Source organism: Homo sapiens, chromosome 14 (genome assembly GCF_000001405.40).
Source record: "Homo sapiens chromosome 14, GRCh38.p14 Primary Assembly".
NCBI classification, from domain to species: domain Eukaryota; kingdom Metazoa; phylum Chordata; class Mammalia; order Primates; family Hominidae; genus Homo; species Homo sapiens.
This window is the reverse complement of record NC_000014.9, coordinates 30,406,308-30,423,513: the sequence shown is the minus strand read 5'-3', so window position 1 is coordinate 30,423,513 and position 17,206 is coordinate 30,406,308. Positions and strand designations below refer to the sequence as shown.

General features: G+C 40.2%; 1 long non-coding RNA gene across 3 annotated transcripts in view; it reads left to right on the top strand.

Annotated features, from left to right (window-relative positions):
• The window catches only part of LOC112267868 (uncharacterized), a 96,358-nt gene that overhangs the window by 51,024 nt on the left and 28,128 nt on the right, over positions 1 to 17,206 (top strand). For 2 of the 3 annotated variants that reach the window (XR_007064108.1, XR_943707.2), the window contains 2 exons: positions 4,702 to 4,826; positions 10,914 to 12,024. This is a non-coding gene — a long non-coding RNA (uncharacterized LOC112267868). Of the gene's footprint in view, positions 1 to 4,701; positions 4,827 to 10,913; positions 12,025 to 17,206 lie in introns of those variants that run through there. The other variant, XR_007064106.1, reaches the window with a different exon arrangement.

Genomic DNA, 17,206 nt, shown 5'->3' with positions numbered 1-17,206 from the left:
TGAATCACTGGTATTTAAGATGGAAACACGAGTGGGGGCCAGGGTGGTGAGGGGTTGAAGAACATCCAAAGCCAGATTGGAGAGTCATGTTGGACTTTCTGGCAGTCAACATGGCCTGTAAGAGGAGGCTGCAGGAAGGGGGGGGGATCCCCAAAGCCCCGTCTTGATTCTTTCTGCATTTCTGGTATCCCTGTAGAATAGTAAAGTGAAGGAGGGTGGGATCAGAGTAGGGGGAGCTGGCAGAGGAAGAGAAACAGTGTTTTATCTGTGACTGGATAATGCTATTCAGTAGGAGGAGTGTATAAAATATTCCCATTAAAAAATAGAGAAGCTGAGACTCTAAGAAATAATTTGAAATAAAGCTGAAGATAGAGTTGAATATCCAGATGAAATGCCAAAATTCTATCAGCCATTTGATGTTTCTGAATGTCTTGGTGTCTAGCATTGTGTAGGTAAAATATCCAGCTGCTTGTCTAAATTTTCCATTTTTCATCCAGATGTTTCCATTTCTTATTGTACATGGATATATTTAATAATATTTATAGTTTAATTAGGCATTTATGAAAGCAATTATGAAGTTTGATTGGATATTCATAGTTTTGAAACTATAAAGAATAGCATAAAATGTTTGTACTGCTATAATAAAATTCTATTTTTATTTTGCAAAGATGTACTTGATTTTTCAATAGAGGAAAGAACTTTAAAAATTCAGTGTAATAACAAATTTGACACATCTGTTCTTCCTGTACAGAATCTTGAGACTTGTGGGGCTGACATGGGCCTTAGGTCACAGAGTGCTTATAAAAGAGGGCCACTTCCATGAGACAAAGAGATTGGGTAGGAGACCTCTAAGATTCATACTGAGCTGAAAGCTGCCTTCCTGAAGGTTTTGTCAATGAAGACTTTCTCAGATTTTTGAGATTGCTGCTCAGAATCTATTTTCATCCCTCTCCGTCAGACCAATGCTATAACTATTTAGAGACAACTCTCGTGTCTCTCCTGACTTCTCCCTTGCTCATGCAATGTATCTTCTTTTTCTTCCATCATTCTTCATATAATCTGGTGTTGAAACTCTTCTCTACCCTAATCTCAGACCCCTGTATATACAGTTCTGTATTTTAATTTCCTTTGTAAACAATAACACTGGTAACTAAATCTGATACTCTCCCTGGAGTCTGACCAGGTCAGAAGACAATGAGACTATTACATTTCTTATTTTGAGCGCTATTGATATGCATGCAGTCCACGTATTCAACAGTGCTTTTGAAGTTACATTTCCCTGCTGATTTCTATTATTTGATGTTAACTGAAACAGCTAGATTTTTTTTTAATGTGAGTGGCTCTCTTTTTATCTCCTCCATCCTGTTTGGAGGCTTTGACTTTGCAACACTACTGAAAACACGGCATTAGTTTTCTCCGTATTGACTTTTACCTTGTAAGCTTCTGTGTATCATTCTGCCTGTTCAGAAGTTGAAGTCTGTGTCTAATATGCTATCTATCCTTTCCATCTTTGAGTCAGTTGAAAACTCAGAAAGCCTGGTTTCAGTGTATTTTTTTAAGTATTTGGTTAAAATTTGAATAAAACAGAGATAGGCCTGTAGTATGTCCTTGGAGATATCTCTCCTGGCTGATGACAGTGAGAAACTTGGACCCATTCCTTGAATGCAACCCCTGGAAGAGATCTGTGTTTATTCAGAATCTGAGGCACATCTTTGAGAATAAACAGGTTTTATTGTGGAGTTTACAATTTGAGCACCTTAAGGGTTTCATTTATTGCTGAGAATTAGCATCTAATTAATTTGTTAAAATGTTTCAACAGCAAACAAAGTAGGTAAAGAAAAAAAAGCAAAAAAGAAAAAAAATTGGTTGTTCCCACATGCAAGAAGTGAAGTTGAATTGTGCCCTGATTAATTGATTAAGGATGGTTCCTGTGGTGAATAATTATGTTCAATAACTGTCAATATAATTTGCAATCAATTATCACTTATAAAACCAGCCTATAGCAAACTCAGTTTTACATGCATCCTAATGCAACTGCCATATTAGGAAGCATGACTTTCCATTTCCTTCATAATGTCCTTTATTCAGCATATCATAATTGAAAGCTTTCACTTTATATCCAACAAGGTATCTCCCTTCCACTTTCAGAAGTTGCCTTAAAACTTGTTTTTTCTTTTTTCTAGAAAGTCCATTATGATTAGTGGCTGTGGTCAGAAGTTATCCAGCCTGTGATAGATTGAATTTCTCACTATTCTTCACTCTCCTGCAGGGAGATTATACATCCATACCTTTGCCATGGCCTCATGGTGGGTGAAGAATACTTTCCTATCCTTTGACTTTGGGGGTTTGGCATGAGACTTGCTTTGGCCAACGAGATGTTAGCAGACATACCTTAGCAGAGGACTGAAATGTGCTTAAGTAGATGGGCTTGCCCTGTTAGACATCACCATGAGAAGAGTTTCCCCAGGTACCTGCTACCCTTTCAGCCTGGATCTCAGAATGAACACACATGGAACAGACCTGAGCCCAATCTGCAGCAGAGTCGTGCCCAGTCAGATCCTCAATCTGAAGCAAAGTTGCCTACAGAGCCTAGCTTAGATGAGTTGAGTCCCAGCTGACTTGCAGATCTATGAGCATTGGAATAGATGTTTATTGTTGCATGCCACTGAGTTTTGGGGCTGATTTTTTTTACACAGCCTTTTCCTATGAAGTACTATTTCTTAATTCAAGTGGGAAATTTGTTGTTTATACTATTGCTTAAGTTCAGTAATAATTCATCAAGTCAAAATTTAGCTGCCAGGAACCTTACTAATCTGTAGTGTAGCCAAGAATACAGAAGAGAGGACTGTAGCTATAACAAGTGGACCAAATAGATACGATGTTCACACACTAATGCTCTTATATTTATTCCTAGGAGAATTCTTCAGACACTCAGGAATACTTATTCTAATCCTTACATTCAATATAAAATCTTTCCTAGCTGGTTTCCTCATCATAAAAATGTAAAAGTGAGATAAAGTCTGTTCCAGCAGGCACATGAAAGGAGATACAGACAGCCTATGACTTGATGGAAAGTGGGAAAACCTGACACGTATAACGGTCTGGGATTTTCAGTGTGGAGCCAGGAACCTGCCTACTTCTGGAGGTCCTGAGAGCAAACCCCAAAGCTGAGGTTCATAAAGATGCATACTCTTGGGGCATAAGGCAGCATGCTAGGGGTATAGAAAATGTGGGACTCATGTGAACACCTTTCTGAAATGTCTTTTTTTTCCAGCTTTATTATAAACTGGAATAGCAGGTCCTGTTTTTTTCTTTCTTTTAAGTACTAGTAAACTAAAAAGGGAGGAACTCTTTTTTTTTTTGTCAATTAAGGGCATCTGTCAACATCATTTGATAATGGAAGGCTTTTTAAAATATTAACTAAATAAGAAGGATGTAAACCTCCTAAAAGAGGTCATTTGGCAAAGTTTCACTTTGAACTAATATTAGGGAACCATTGATTTAAATTATTGACTTCACTTTTCAACAAGCAAAGATCTAGTATTAAATACAAAATTTAGATAATATTTTAAGATAAAAGTGGGGCATTTCGTGACTCTTCCCTCGGAGACAGATGTTTACCCTTTTCTGCTGGTAGGAGAAGTTGTCAGGAAAAATTTGAGAGCTTTTGTTCTGTTATTAAATCAAGCTGCTGTTAGCCTGTTTGAGAAAACAGGGAAATATATTACACATTTTAGAATGTAGCACACATTTCCTCAAATGGTTAAAATATAAAAGATGATGATGCTTTAAATTTAGGAGTAAATTGTTGTTTACCTGGAAATGTAACTATGGAGTCTCATTTGTTACCCGTGTATTCTAGATAGCTGAATCTCTATTGTATATCAATCAAGCAAATCTTACCTCTTCCAGGGAACTTCTAGTGAGACGTAGCAGTGAGTTAATTCATAGTGATTCTTAGAGCCAAAAAATGTGAGCTTGTGTCCAGGTCTGATCTCTATGCGGAAAGAAGAGAACATAGCATGCATGGAGAACGCAGAGGGCCAACTTGTCTTTCCCCCAAGCATTCCTCCTGGCTTGCAATTTCCTCCATTGGTGTGGTTACTATGACTTTTACAATGAAATACCATGCAAGGTAAGCCACACAGGCCACCAACATTTTCTACCATGTGCTAGGAAGGATGAGAGACACAAACATGGATTACTCCTGTTTTAAAGAGTTTGTAATGTAGATGGAGAAAGAAGGCAGATAAGAGACACTAAAACAAAACAACAAAGATAAGGCAGTAGTTAATTAATAACTAAACTATGTGTTCTCATTTCCAAGAGTTGTAGAAAGTTTGGGGAGGAGAGGTCTTGCAGGCCTGGAGTAGGAGGAAGGTTTCAGTGTCTGAGGATTAGGCCTTGAGGGAGGGAATAATTTTAGGGAGTGGATAGAAGCAGAGAGATCATCCCAGGGCCTTGTCACATTGGTAGTTGAAGACTTGAATGGCAGGAACCCAACAGAAGTGGTGGAAAATAACTTTGTGTGGTTAGGATTGTGCCAGGATCTCAAGGGCATCAGAATTAGAATTAAAACAGGAGGAAATGGAAGGCTTTTGAGTAGGTAAGTGACCTGATAATGAGGAACGTTGATCTGAAGATAGGAATGACAAGAGGGCAATAGTGAAATGTATACATGAACCACTTTTTAACCCACAGGTTCTTCATTAATTTAGACAACTTAAGGGTATCCTGAGGAGATGAGATCAGGACCTTCAGATTACGAGACTCACGCCCTGCTGGCTGCGCTAAGAGGGCTCCTGAGGAGATGAGATCAAACATAGGTAAGCTTTCCCGTGTGTATGTGTTGGGAAAAGGAGGTGGCGATTTGAGGTTGGGTAAATGTCCTAAGGATGATGGGACACTTGAGCGACCAATGCCACTTCACAATTTGACTTCAGGCACGTTGGGGGGTGCATTTGGTAAACAGTTTTAGGGGTCCTGAACAAGCCCTGGGCTCTTAGGAAAGCTAACCCCCTCCCTCCTCCAGAAAATTAGGAAGGGATAATGCTAGATATTTTGTCTTTTAAAAGAAAGAGAATCAGTCCATGGTGGTAAAAACAATGGCTGTTAGGGATTGTCTTGCATCTTTTACACCTGCAGCAAAATTCTCCAACTCTAAGATCACTGTTGACAGCAGAAATGGACTTCTATGTAGCACTTTCTGTGTTATTTCGTTTAATCAAATGCAAATGTCAACTCTGTGAGGTAAATATTGCTAGTTTCATTTAACACACCAGGAGGTGAATGTTCAGTAAAGGTCACATGGTGATAAAAGCAAAACCAGGACTGCCATACTGGTCTTCTGACCACAGAAATCTTTGCCCTGCTCTGTTCTTTTTTTCTCATAACATGGAAAGGGGAGCAAGCATTTCAGAAGACCCAAACTGCTGGAGAGAGTGAAACTATGCATCAGGGAAAATAGCATTTTTGTTTAAGAACTCAAATAATGGGAAATAAAAGCAATACATACTTGAATGTGTCCATTTATGCATTCTTCTTGGTCTCTATACAAGAAGTGCTGTTTGAGATGAAAGTTCTCTGTACTCAAATATAGAGAACCAAAACCAGAATGTTTCAACTCTCAATCAAGAACTTGCAGACATGAGGCAGGAGAATCATTTGAACCCGGGAGGTGGACATTGCAGTGAGCCAAGATTGCACCACTGCACTCCAGCCTGGGCAACAGAGTGAGACTCTGTCACAAAAAAAAAAAAAAAAAAAAGAACTTACAGACAATGGGACAGTGTTTTTCATATTGTGTTCAGAGGAGGCCAGGCAGCAGGGGAGGGAATGAGGTGGGACCATCATGGTATCTAGTGCTCTTGACTTCTTCTCCCATCACATATGCTCTGCTTTTTAAGACAAGTATTTGTTTTCACATATGTGTAAGATTTCCTTTGATAAAGGGTTAAACAATTTAAAAACAGAGGGACAGTTTCCAAGTCTAGTTTTTTTCTTTTCCCCCAAATGCCATCAGCTGAACAACTCAATTGGATTTGTTCTGAAATCAAACCTGGTTTTATGTTTGCTGCTACAAATGATACAGAGCAGAATATGTTATTCTATAAATGCAAGAAAATATGACCAAGTTATTCAAATAATGACTAATATTCTTGCATAACCATTCAAGTGAGAGAAAAACTGACTCCAGCAGAAAAGCAGCCATGACAACCGCATAAATAATAGGCACTGCTTTGAGATCTTTTGGGTAAATGGAAGATGAACTTGCTCTCAGAAAACAAATGGCACAAAGAAATAAGTGTTACATGCAGCAAGGACTCAGAGAGCACCTGGAAACATCACCATTGAGATCCTTTCATTTTTTATTTTTCTCTCTTTATAGATAGGGTCTCAATCTGTTACCCAGGCTGGAGTGCAGTGGTGTGATCATAGCTCACTGTAGCCTCAAATTTCTGATCTCAAGTAATCCTCTCACCTCAGCCTACTGAGTAGCTGGGACTACAGGTGCGTGCCATCATGCTTGGCTAATTAAATTTTTTTTTTTTTTGTAGAGACGAGGTCTCATTATGTTGACCAGGCTGGTCTAAAACTTCTGGCCTCAAGCAATCCTCTTGCCTCAGCCTTCCAAAATGCTGGGATTACAGGCATGAGCCACTGCGTCTGGCATCATTGAGATCTTTATGGGAGAGTTTTAGGGATAAAATTCAGTAGAAAGCATCTGAACATTTAAAAAGTCCTTGATATAGGCCGGGCACGGTGGCTCATGCCTGTAATCCCAGCACTTTGGGAGGCCGAGGCGGCCGAATCACGAGGTCAGGAGATCGAGACCATCCTGGCTAACACGGTGAAACCCTGTCTCCACTAAAAATACAAAAAATTAGCCAGGCGTGGTGGCGGGCACCTGTAGTCCCAGCTACTCGGGAGGCTGAGGCAGGAGAATGGCATGAACCCGGGAGGTGGAGCTTGCAGTGAGTCGAGATCGCACCACTACACTCCGGCCTGGGCGACAGAGCGAGACTCCATCTCAAAAAAAAAAAAAAAAAAAAAGGCCTTGATATATATTCTTGGCGTGGCTCTCCAAACTAGTTATTTTTTTGGTCTACCAAAACTCATCAAAATGTTATGAAAATGCTAATTTCTCCATAACATCACTAGCTGGGTATTAAGATTTTAAAAATCTTTGCAGCCACAGGTGTTTAAAAAACCCCAGTTGGAGGAGGTACACCTCTTTTCATCAGCTGGTGCCCTGAGTTGCTGGCCATCATTACAAGAGCATGAAATTGTACAGAGAGGGCCTAGGAAAATTGTCCTAATTTGTGCCATTTTGTGGAAGTCAACAGCTAATCCTTTGGAATCAGGGCTTTCCATAGAGGATAGGTTCATTTAAATAAGTGTTATAGTTAGCAATCTATGACTGTGGAACAATCTGTGATAATTTGAACTTTTGAATAACCAACCACAGTATAATGTTTGAAAAGCTGTAAAAAAGACTTCATCACAACTCACAATTGAAGATGGAGACTTTTATAATTCTGTCCCAAAGTGTTCCATTTTAAACATCCTATAGGTAAATAGAAGTAAATGGCATGTATTTAAATTGGATTTGTTCTCAAACCTGTTTCAACTTGAGCAATTGCTGCAATAAGATTTCCTTTAATATCTTCGTTTAACTGCCATTGGTTTAAAAAAACCCTAACTGAAGCTATTTCTGAAATTGAAGATTGAACATAATTGATATTAAGTACCATTAAGCTCATTATTGGTCTTGTAAAGATATTTCTATATTCTCTGGGACAGATATCATCTCAGGGAAAAGAAAGTTCATTTATTATACGTTTCCTCTATTGAATTCTATTCACCAAACTATGTCATGTAACGTGCTAGCCTCTGGGTACTGGAAAAATGAGGAATAAAGTTTCCTGAAGAAGCTAGGCCTAGAGGTGGATGGCATATGTACACATTCACAAGTAAGAACGCATTGTGATAGTTGCTGTAATAGAAGCACACATAATATAAGTGCTTGGAAACACAAATGCTAAGTTAATAATTCTGCAGTCACAGTAGAGGAAAAGGCAGAAAAAAGGTCAGGGCAACTAATGAGAAATGGCATGTCAGCTGGGCCTTAATTGATAAATGGGAGTTTGTCAGGTTGATAAGGGGAAATGGGGATTACAGACAGTGGGAAGTCTGTCCAAAGGACTGAAGGTCAGAAAACTCAGGACATGGGTAGGAAATCTGCTGTGCTTAGAGATATGACCACGCACACTGGGGAGAGGCTGCACACGAGCCTGGAAATCTTAACCAGGCAGACTGCAAACTGCATCTTTATTTGTTCGTTGTGAATATTGTGCTACAGTGTACTTTTACTCAAAATCCTGGAGTCATTAGACAGGCTCTCACTTCACTGCCTCTGTAAAGGATTGCATTTCATTTCTTCTAAGATGTATACAAAAGGAAAAGAAAGATTTTGAAAAGGAATTCCAATACATTTCTTTCCAACAACATTCATTTGTATTTGATTTTCTAAAAGAAACAGACATTCAATGTATGGATCTGCAGAAATGTGTGTGATTTTACTAAAATATTTATTTCTACAGAACCATATCATTTCTATCAGCTCTTCCCTATTCTACAATAAAAAGTCCTTAAAATGAATGACAAGCCAATGGTATAGCATTATCTCCACTTGGGATTCTTAGATATTGTTTGTCAGTGTTTGAATAGTACATTTTTGCATGGGAAAAAGCAAATTGTGGGCTCTTAACAAAAAGCATCTCAGAGAATTCTTTCGATGATGATGAATTTTATCTTTGTATATGAGGTTATGCTGGGTGGTTTCTAATGCATCTTTCTCTCTCTCTGACTCATTGTTTCCTCCCCCACCCCACCTCACTACCTCTCTGCTTGTGTACAGGGTAACAATAAAGTCTGGAAACATAATAACATTATTTTATATGTATTTTACTATTAACCAGTCATTTCTTAACCTATGTCCCCTGACTTAGTGGCTAGCCTGTAGTTCTAAACTGACTGATGTTGAGATTAGTCAAATATATTTTGATAAAATGAGAAGCTTAAAAGTGATTGGCCTTATGTAAGTGGGGTTTACTTTGGTGGATCCCCTTGTCACTTTTGGGGCCTATTTTAGATAAGCTGATGTTTTCTCTCAGAAAGCAGCTATATCTGGTGCTCTATCTGTATTGGTTGGTAAAGGGACCATTGAATTAAAATGAACAGTTCATGGTAGACCTGGCCAAAATGGATATAGAATGGGATGATAGAAGCTAAGGTGGAGGCCGTGAAAGACTGATGTCTACATATGGAGACTGTGAGCTTGACTCTGCACAGAATATTTCAGCTATATATCTAGGGATAGGAGTTATATATCACTGTTGGCTACTCCATACTCTGCTGGCCGTGAACTAGAATACTTTGGAAAGTGTATGTTGAGCCTCTCTTAGGGTCCTGAAGATGGCTAACTGTGTGTCCCAGTAAGGAGCTGCTAAGGGTGTTTCTCCTTTCTTACCCAATGTCCTCCAAGTCAGGCCACCAATAGCTTATACAAAAGCTTTGTGAAGGCCGGGCACGGTGGCTCACGCCTGTAATCCCAGCACTTTGGGAGGCCGAGGCGGGCGGATCACGAGGTCAGGAGATCGAGACCATCCCGGCTAAAACGGTGAAACCCCGTCTCTACTAAAAATACAAAAAATTAGCCGGGCGTAGTGGCGGGCGCCTGTAGTCCCAGCTACTTGGGAGGCTGAGGCAGGAGAATGGCGTGAACCCGGGAGGCGGAGCTTGCAGTGAGCCGAGATCCCGCCACTGCACTCCAGCCTGGGTGACAGAGCGAGACTCCGTCTCAAAAAAAAAAAAAAAAAAAAAAAAAAAAAGCTTTGTGAAAACCAGGAAAAAGGTTATCCATCTGATATGGTTTGGCTCTGTGTCCCCACCCAAATCTCATCTTGTAGCTCCCAGAATTCTCATGTGTTGTGGGAGGGACCCAGTGGGAGGTAACTGAATCATGGGGGCAGGTCTTTCCCGTGCTGTTCTCGTGATAGCAGATAAGTCTCACAAGATCTGACGGTATTATAAGGGGGAGTTTCCCTATACAAGCTCTCTCTTTGCCTACTGCCATCCATGTAAGACGTGACTTGCTCCTCCTTGCTTTCTGCCATGATTGTGAGGATTCACCAGCCACGTGGAAATGCAAGTCCAATTAAACCTCTTTTTTTTTTTAATTGCCCAGTCTCAGGTATGTTTATCAGCAGCATGAAAATGGACTAATACGCCGTCTTCTCTATGGTCCTGGGGGCACGGATTAGGGATGGAGCAGAAGAGGGATTTTAGGCACTTTGTGCTGAAAACAACCTATATAATTACATATGATGGCTCTTTCTCTATTGTCTAGTGCCAGGCATCTCTGGGGTATTAATATTTAAGGGAGAATCCCATTGTCTACTTTTGGTTGAACATCTATTACATACTTATATAGGTAATTAGCATACTTTCTATGAATACTGGATATATTTATAGTGTATATACTAAAACTTAATCTGGAGGTAGCATTTAAAGTTTTCTAGATTTTTCTAACTTCCTTTGTTTCACGTATGACAAACTTTAGTTATGATAACTTTAGTTATGAAGAAACTTCAGAAGATTTCACCCCATCTGTTTCTGATATTGATTATTCTAAACCAGAAAAGAGAGTGTGAATTCATAAAATATCTTGGTCAGTAAAGCAGATGGTCATGAGAGTCTATAGAAATTCACTTAGCATCCACAAGTCCAGAGGATGCAGTTACCATGCTGCTCAGTTGAGATGAGAGAGAGAAAATGTGTTCAGAAAGTCATATAACAACACCAATTCCAGGTTTACTTATGCTTCATATTTTTTTTACTCTTTGTGGCAGGAAGAAAAATGGAGTCTCCAAGATGTCCACATTTGAATCTCTGGAACCTGTGAATATGTTACTTTATATGGCAAAAGGAACTTTGCAGGTGTGAGAAAAGTTGAGGACCTTGAGATGGGGAGATCATCCTGGATTATTTGAATAAGCCCAAATTCATCAAATGAATTCTTAAAAGAACCTTTCCTCTGAGATGAGAGTCTGAGGGAGATGTGGCTATGGAAGAATGGTCAGAGAGCAATGCAAAGCTGCTGGCTGTGAAGATGGAAGAAGGGGCCATAAGCCAAGAAATATGGTTGGTTTCTAGGAGCTGGAAGAGGCAAGAAGACATATTCTCCTCTAGACCCTCCAGAAGAAATGCAGCCTCACTGACACCTTAATTTTAGCCCTGAAAGACCCATTTCAGAACTCTGACCTACAGAACTGTAAGATTGTAAGTTTGTAGTGTTTTAAGCCACTAAATTTATGGTAATTTATTATAGCAGTAACAGAAAATCAATATATGCTTTATGCAGGTAGTACTAAATTACATATTGCAGGTTTATGTTTGTTTGAGGACAGCTCTTTCTTTATTTTTAGAGATAGCACCTTGCTCTGTCACCAGGCCGGAGTGCAGCAGTGTGTTGATAGCTCACTGGAACCTCAAATTCCTGGGCTTAATCCATCTTCCCACCTATATCTCCCACATGCATGTAGCTAGGACTAGATGCATGTGCCAGCATACCTGGCTAATTTTTTTTGGCTTTTTTTTTTTTTTTTTTTTTTTTTTGTAGAGATGGGGTCTCACTATTTTTCCCAAGCTGATCTCAAACTCCTGTGCTCAAGCAATCCTCCTGCGTTGGCCCTGCCAAAGTTTTCAGATTACAGGTATAAGCCACCACACCTGGCTGGACAGCTCTTTCAAGGACTCTCTGTTTTTAATTTAAAATCTAATTTTAATTTTAATTTAGTTTTTTAAATTAAAACAATATACTTTGAACATCTGTGCATCAAAAGACCCTACCAACAGAGTGAAGAGGTAATCAATGGCATGGGAGAAAATATTTGCAGATTATGTATCTTATATGGGATTAATATTCCAAATAAATAAAGAACTCCTACAAATAATAAAAAACCAAGCAACTTGATTAAAAAATAGGCAAAGAATTAGATAGAGATTTCTCTAAAGAAGATATAAAAATGGCCAATATACACATAAAAAGATGCTCAAAGTCACTAATCATTAGGGAAAGGCAAATCAAAATCTCAACGCAAATCAAAATCGCTTCATATGCATTAGGATGGCTATTATTAAAAAAACAGAAACTAAAACTCAGTGAGAATGGGTATGAAGTTACTTGAAGTTATTCCAATGCATTGTTAGTGGGAAAGTAAAATCGTGCCACTGCTGTGGAAAACAGTATGATGATTCAGCAAAAAATTAAACAGAATTACTTTATGATCTAGCAGTTTCACTTCTGGGTATATACCTAAGAGAACTGAAAGCAGAGGCACTGCTGAAGCCTCGTCTCTACTAAAAATAAAAAAATTATGTGGTGGCAGGCACCTGTAATCCCAGCTGCTTGGGAGGCTGAGGCAGAGAATTGCTTGAACCTGGGAGGTGGAGGTTGCAATGAGCTGAGATCGCACCACTGCACTCCAGCCTGGGTGACAGAGCAAGACTCTGTCTCATAAAAAAAAAAAAAAAAAAAAAAAAGAAGAAAAGAAAAAGGAATGAAACTGGGGATCCCAGATCAAAGATGGCCGAGTAGGAACAGCTCCAGTCTGCAGCTCTTAGCAAGATCAATGCAGAAGGTGGGTGATTTCTGCATTTCCAACTGGGGTACACAGCTCATCTCATTGGCACTGGTTAGGCAGTGGGTGGAGCTCATGGAGGGCTAGCCAAAGCAGGGTGGGGCATCATCTCACCCAGGAAGTGCAAGGGGTTGGGGAACTCCCTCCCCTAGCCAAGGGAAGCCGTAAGGGACTGTGCCATGAGGGATGTAGCTGTCACACAGATACCACGCTTTTCCCATGGTCTTTGCAACCCACAGACCAGGAGATTCCCTTGGGTGCCTACCCCACCAGGGCTCTGGGTTTCAAGCACAAAACTGGGCGGCCATTTGGGCAGACACTGAGCTAGCTGCAGGAGTTTTTTTTTTCATACCCCAGTGGTGCCTGGAATGCCAGTGAGACAGATCGTTCACTCCACTGGAAAGGGGGCTGAAGCCCATGGAGCCCAGCAAGCTAAGATCTGCTGGCTTGAAATTCTCACTGCCAGCACAGTTAAGTCTGAAGTCGACCTGGGACACTCGAGCTTGGTTGGGGGAGGGTTGTCTGCCATTACTGAGGCTTGAGTAGGCGGTTTTCCCTTCACCTTGTAGACAAAGCTGCCTGGAAGTTTGAACTGGGCAGAGTCCACCACAGCTTGGCAAAGCCACTGTAGCCAGACTACCTCTCTAGATTCTTCCTCTCTGAGCAGAGCATCTCTGAAAGAAAGGCAGCATCCCCAGTCAGGGGCTTATAGATAAAACTTTCCTCTACCTGGGATAGAGCACCTGGGGGAAGGGGTGGCTGCGGACACAGCTTCAGCAGACTTAAAAGTTCCTGCCTGGTGACGCTGAAGTGAGCAGCAGATCTCCCAGCACAGAGCTTGAGTTCTGCTAAGGGACAGACTGCCTCCTCAAGTGGGTCCCTGACCCCTGTGCCTCCTGACTGGGAGACACTTCCCAGCCAGGGTTGACAGACACCTCATACAGGAGAGCTCCAGCTGGCATTTGGCAAATGCCCCTCTGGGACAAAACTTCCAGAGGAAGGAACAGGCAGCAGTCTGCTATTCTGCAGCCTCCACTGGTGATACCCCAGGCAAACAGGTTCTGGAGTGGACCTCCAGCAGACCTGCAGCAGAGGGGCCTGACTGTTAGAAGGAAAACTAACAAACAGAAAGGAATAGCATCAATGTCAACACACAGGATGACCACACAAACCCCGTCCAAAGGTCACCAACATCAAAGACCAAAGGTAGTTAAATCCACAAAGATGAGGAAAAACCAGTGCAAAAAGGCTGAAAACTCCAAAAACCAGAAGGCCTCTTCTCCTCCAAAGGATCACAACTCCTCACCAGCAAGGGATGGAAAACGAGTTTGATGAACTGACAGAAGAAGGCTTCAGAAGGTGGGTAATAACAAATTCCTCTGAGCTAAAGGAGCATGTTCTAACCCAAAGCAAGGAAGCTAAGAACCTTGAAAAAAGGTTAGAGGAATTGCTAACTAGAATAACCAGTTTAGAGAAGAACATAAATGGCCTGATGGAGCTGCAAATCACAGCATGAGAACTTTGTGAAGCACACACAAGTATCAGTAGCCAAATCGATCAAGCAGAAGAAAGGATGTTGGAGATTGAAGATCAACTTAATGAAATAAAGCGTGAAGACAATATTAGAGAAAAAAGAATGAAAAGGAACAAACAGAGCCTCCAGAAAATATGGGACTATGTGTAAAGACCAAACCTATGTTTGATTGGTGTACCTGAAAGTGACAGGGAGAATGTAACCAAGTTGGAAAACACTCTTCAGGATATTATCCAGGAGAACTTCCCCAACCTAGCAAGACAGGCCAACATTCAAATTCAGGAAATACAGAGAACACCACAAAGATACTTCTCAAGAAGAGCAACCCCAAGACACATAATCATCAGATTCACCGAGGCTGAAATGAAGGAAAAAATGTTAAGGGCACCCAGAGAGAAAGATCGGGTTACCCACAAAGGGAAGCCCATCAGACTAACAGCAGATCTCTCTGCAGAAACCCTAAAAGCCAGAAGAGAGTGGGGGCCAATATTCAACATTCTTAAAAAGAAAGAATTTTCAACCCAGAATTTCACATCCAGCCAAACTAAGCTTTGTAAGCGAAGGAGAAATAAAATCCTCTACAGACAAGCAAATGCTGAGAGATTTTTGTCTCACTACCAGGCCTGCCTTACAAGAGCTCCCGAAGGAAGCACTAAATATGGAAAGGAAAAACTGGTACCAGCCACTGCAAAAACATACCAAATAAAGACCATCAACACTATAAAGAAACTGCATCAACTAACGGGCAAAATAACCAGCTAGCATCATAATGACAGGATCAAATTCACACATAACAATAACAACCTTAAATGTAAATGGGCGAAATGCCCCAGTTAAAAGACACAGACTGGCAAATTGGATAGAGTCAAGACCCATCAGTGTGCTGTATTCAGGAGACTTGTCTCATGTGCAAAGACACACATAGGCTTGAAATAAAGGGATGGAGGAATATTTACCAAGCAAATGGAAATCAAAAAATAAAAACAATTAAAAAAAGGAGGAGTTACAATCCTAGTCTTTGATAAAACAGACTTTAAACCAACAAAGATAAAAAAGACAAGGGCATTACATAATGGTAAAGGGAATAATGCAACAAAAAGAGCTAACTATCATAAATACATATGCACCCAATACAGGAGTACCCAGATTCATAAAGCAAGTTCTTAGAGACCTACATAGAGACTTAGACTCCCACACAATAATAGTGGGAGACTTTAACACCCTACCATCAATATTAGATCAATGAGACAGAAAATTAACAAGGATATTCAGGACTTGAACTCAGCTCTGGATCAAGCAGACCTAATAGACATCTACAGAACTCTTCACCCCAAATCAACAGAATATACATTCTTCTCAGCACTACATGGCACTTATTCTAAAATTGACCACATAATTGAAAGTAAAACACTCCTTAGCAAATGCAAAAGAATGGAAATCATAACAAACAGTTTCTCAGACCACAGTGCAATCAAATTAGAACTCAGGATTAAGAAACTCACTCAAAACCACACAACTACATGGAAACTGAACAACCTGCTCCTGAATGACTACTGGATAAATAACGAAAATAAGACAGAAATAAATAAGTGCTTTGCAACTGATGAGAGCAAAGACACAACATACCAGAATCTCTGGGACACAGCTAGAGGGAAATTTATAGCACTAAATGCCCACAAGAGAAAGCAGGAAAGATCTAAAATCGACACCCTAACATCACAATTAAAAGAACTAGAGAAGCAAGATCAAACAAATGCAAAAGCTAGCAGAAGACAAAAAAATAACTAGGATCAGAGCAGAAATGAAGGAGATAGAGACACAAAATCCCTTCAAAAAACCAATGAATCCAGGAGCTGGTTTTTTGAAAAGTTTAACAAAATAGATAGACCACTAGCCAGACTAATAAAGAAGAAAAGAGAGAAGAATCAAATAGACACAATAAAAAATGATAAAGGGGATATCACCACTGATCCACAGAAATACAAACTACCATCAGAGAATACTTTAAACACCTCCATGCAAATAAACTAGAAAATCTAGAAGAAATGGATAAATTCCTGGACACATACATGCTCCAAAGACTAAGCCAGGAAGAAGTCGAATCTCCGAATAGACCAATAACAAGTTCTGAAATTGAGGCAGTAATTAATGGCCTACCAACCAAAAAAAGCCCAGGACCAGATTCACAGTTGAATTCTACCAGAGGTACAAAGAGGAGCTGGTACCATTCCTTCTGAAACTATTCCAAACAATACAAAAAGAGGGCCTCCTCCCTAACTCATTTTATGAGGCCAGCATCATCCTGATACCAAAACCTGGCAGAGACACAACAAAAAAAGAAAATTTCAGGCCAATATCTCTGATGAATATCTATGTGAAAATCCTCAGAAAAATACTGGCAAACTGAATCCAGCAGCACATCAAAAAGCTTACCCACCACGATCAGGTCGGCTTCAGCCCTGGGATACAAGGCTGGTTCAACATACACAAATCAATAAACACAATCAATCACATAAACAGAACCAAGAACAATAGCCACATGATTATCTCAGTAGATGCAGAAAAGGCCTTTGATAAAATTCAACACCTCTTCATGCTAAAAACTCTCAATAAACTAGGTATTGGTGGAACATATCTCAAAATAATAAGAGCTATTTATGACAAACCCACAGCCAATATCATACTGAATGGGCAAAAGCTGGAAGCATTCCCTTTGAAAACCAGCACAAGACAAGGATGCTCTCTCTCACCACTCCTATTCAACATAGTATTAGAACTTCTGGCTAGGGCAATCAGGCAAGTGAGAGAAATGAAGGGTATCCAAATAGGAAGAGAGGAAGTCAAATTGTCTCTGTTTGCAGATGACATAATTGTATATTTCGAAAATCCCATCATCTCAGCCCCAAATCTCCTTAAGCTGATAAGGACTTCAGCAAAATCTCAGGTTACAAAATCGATGTGCAAAAAT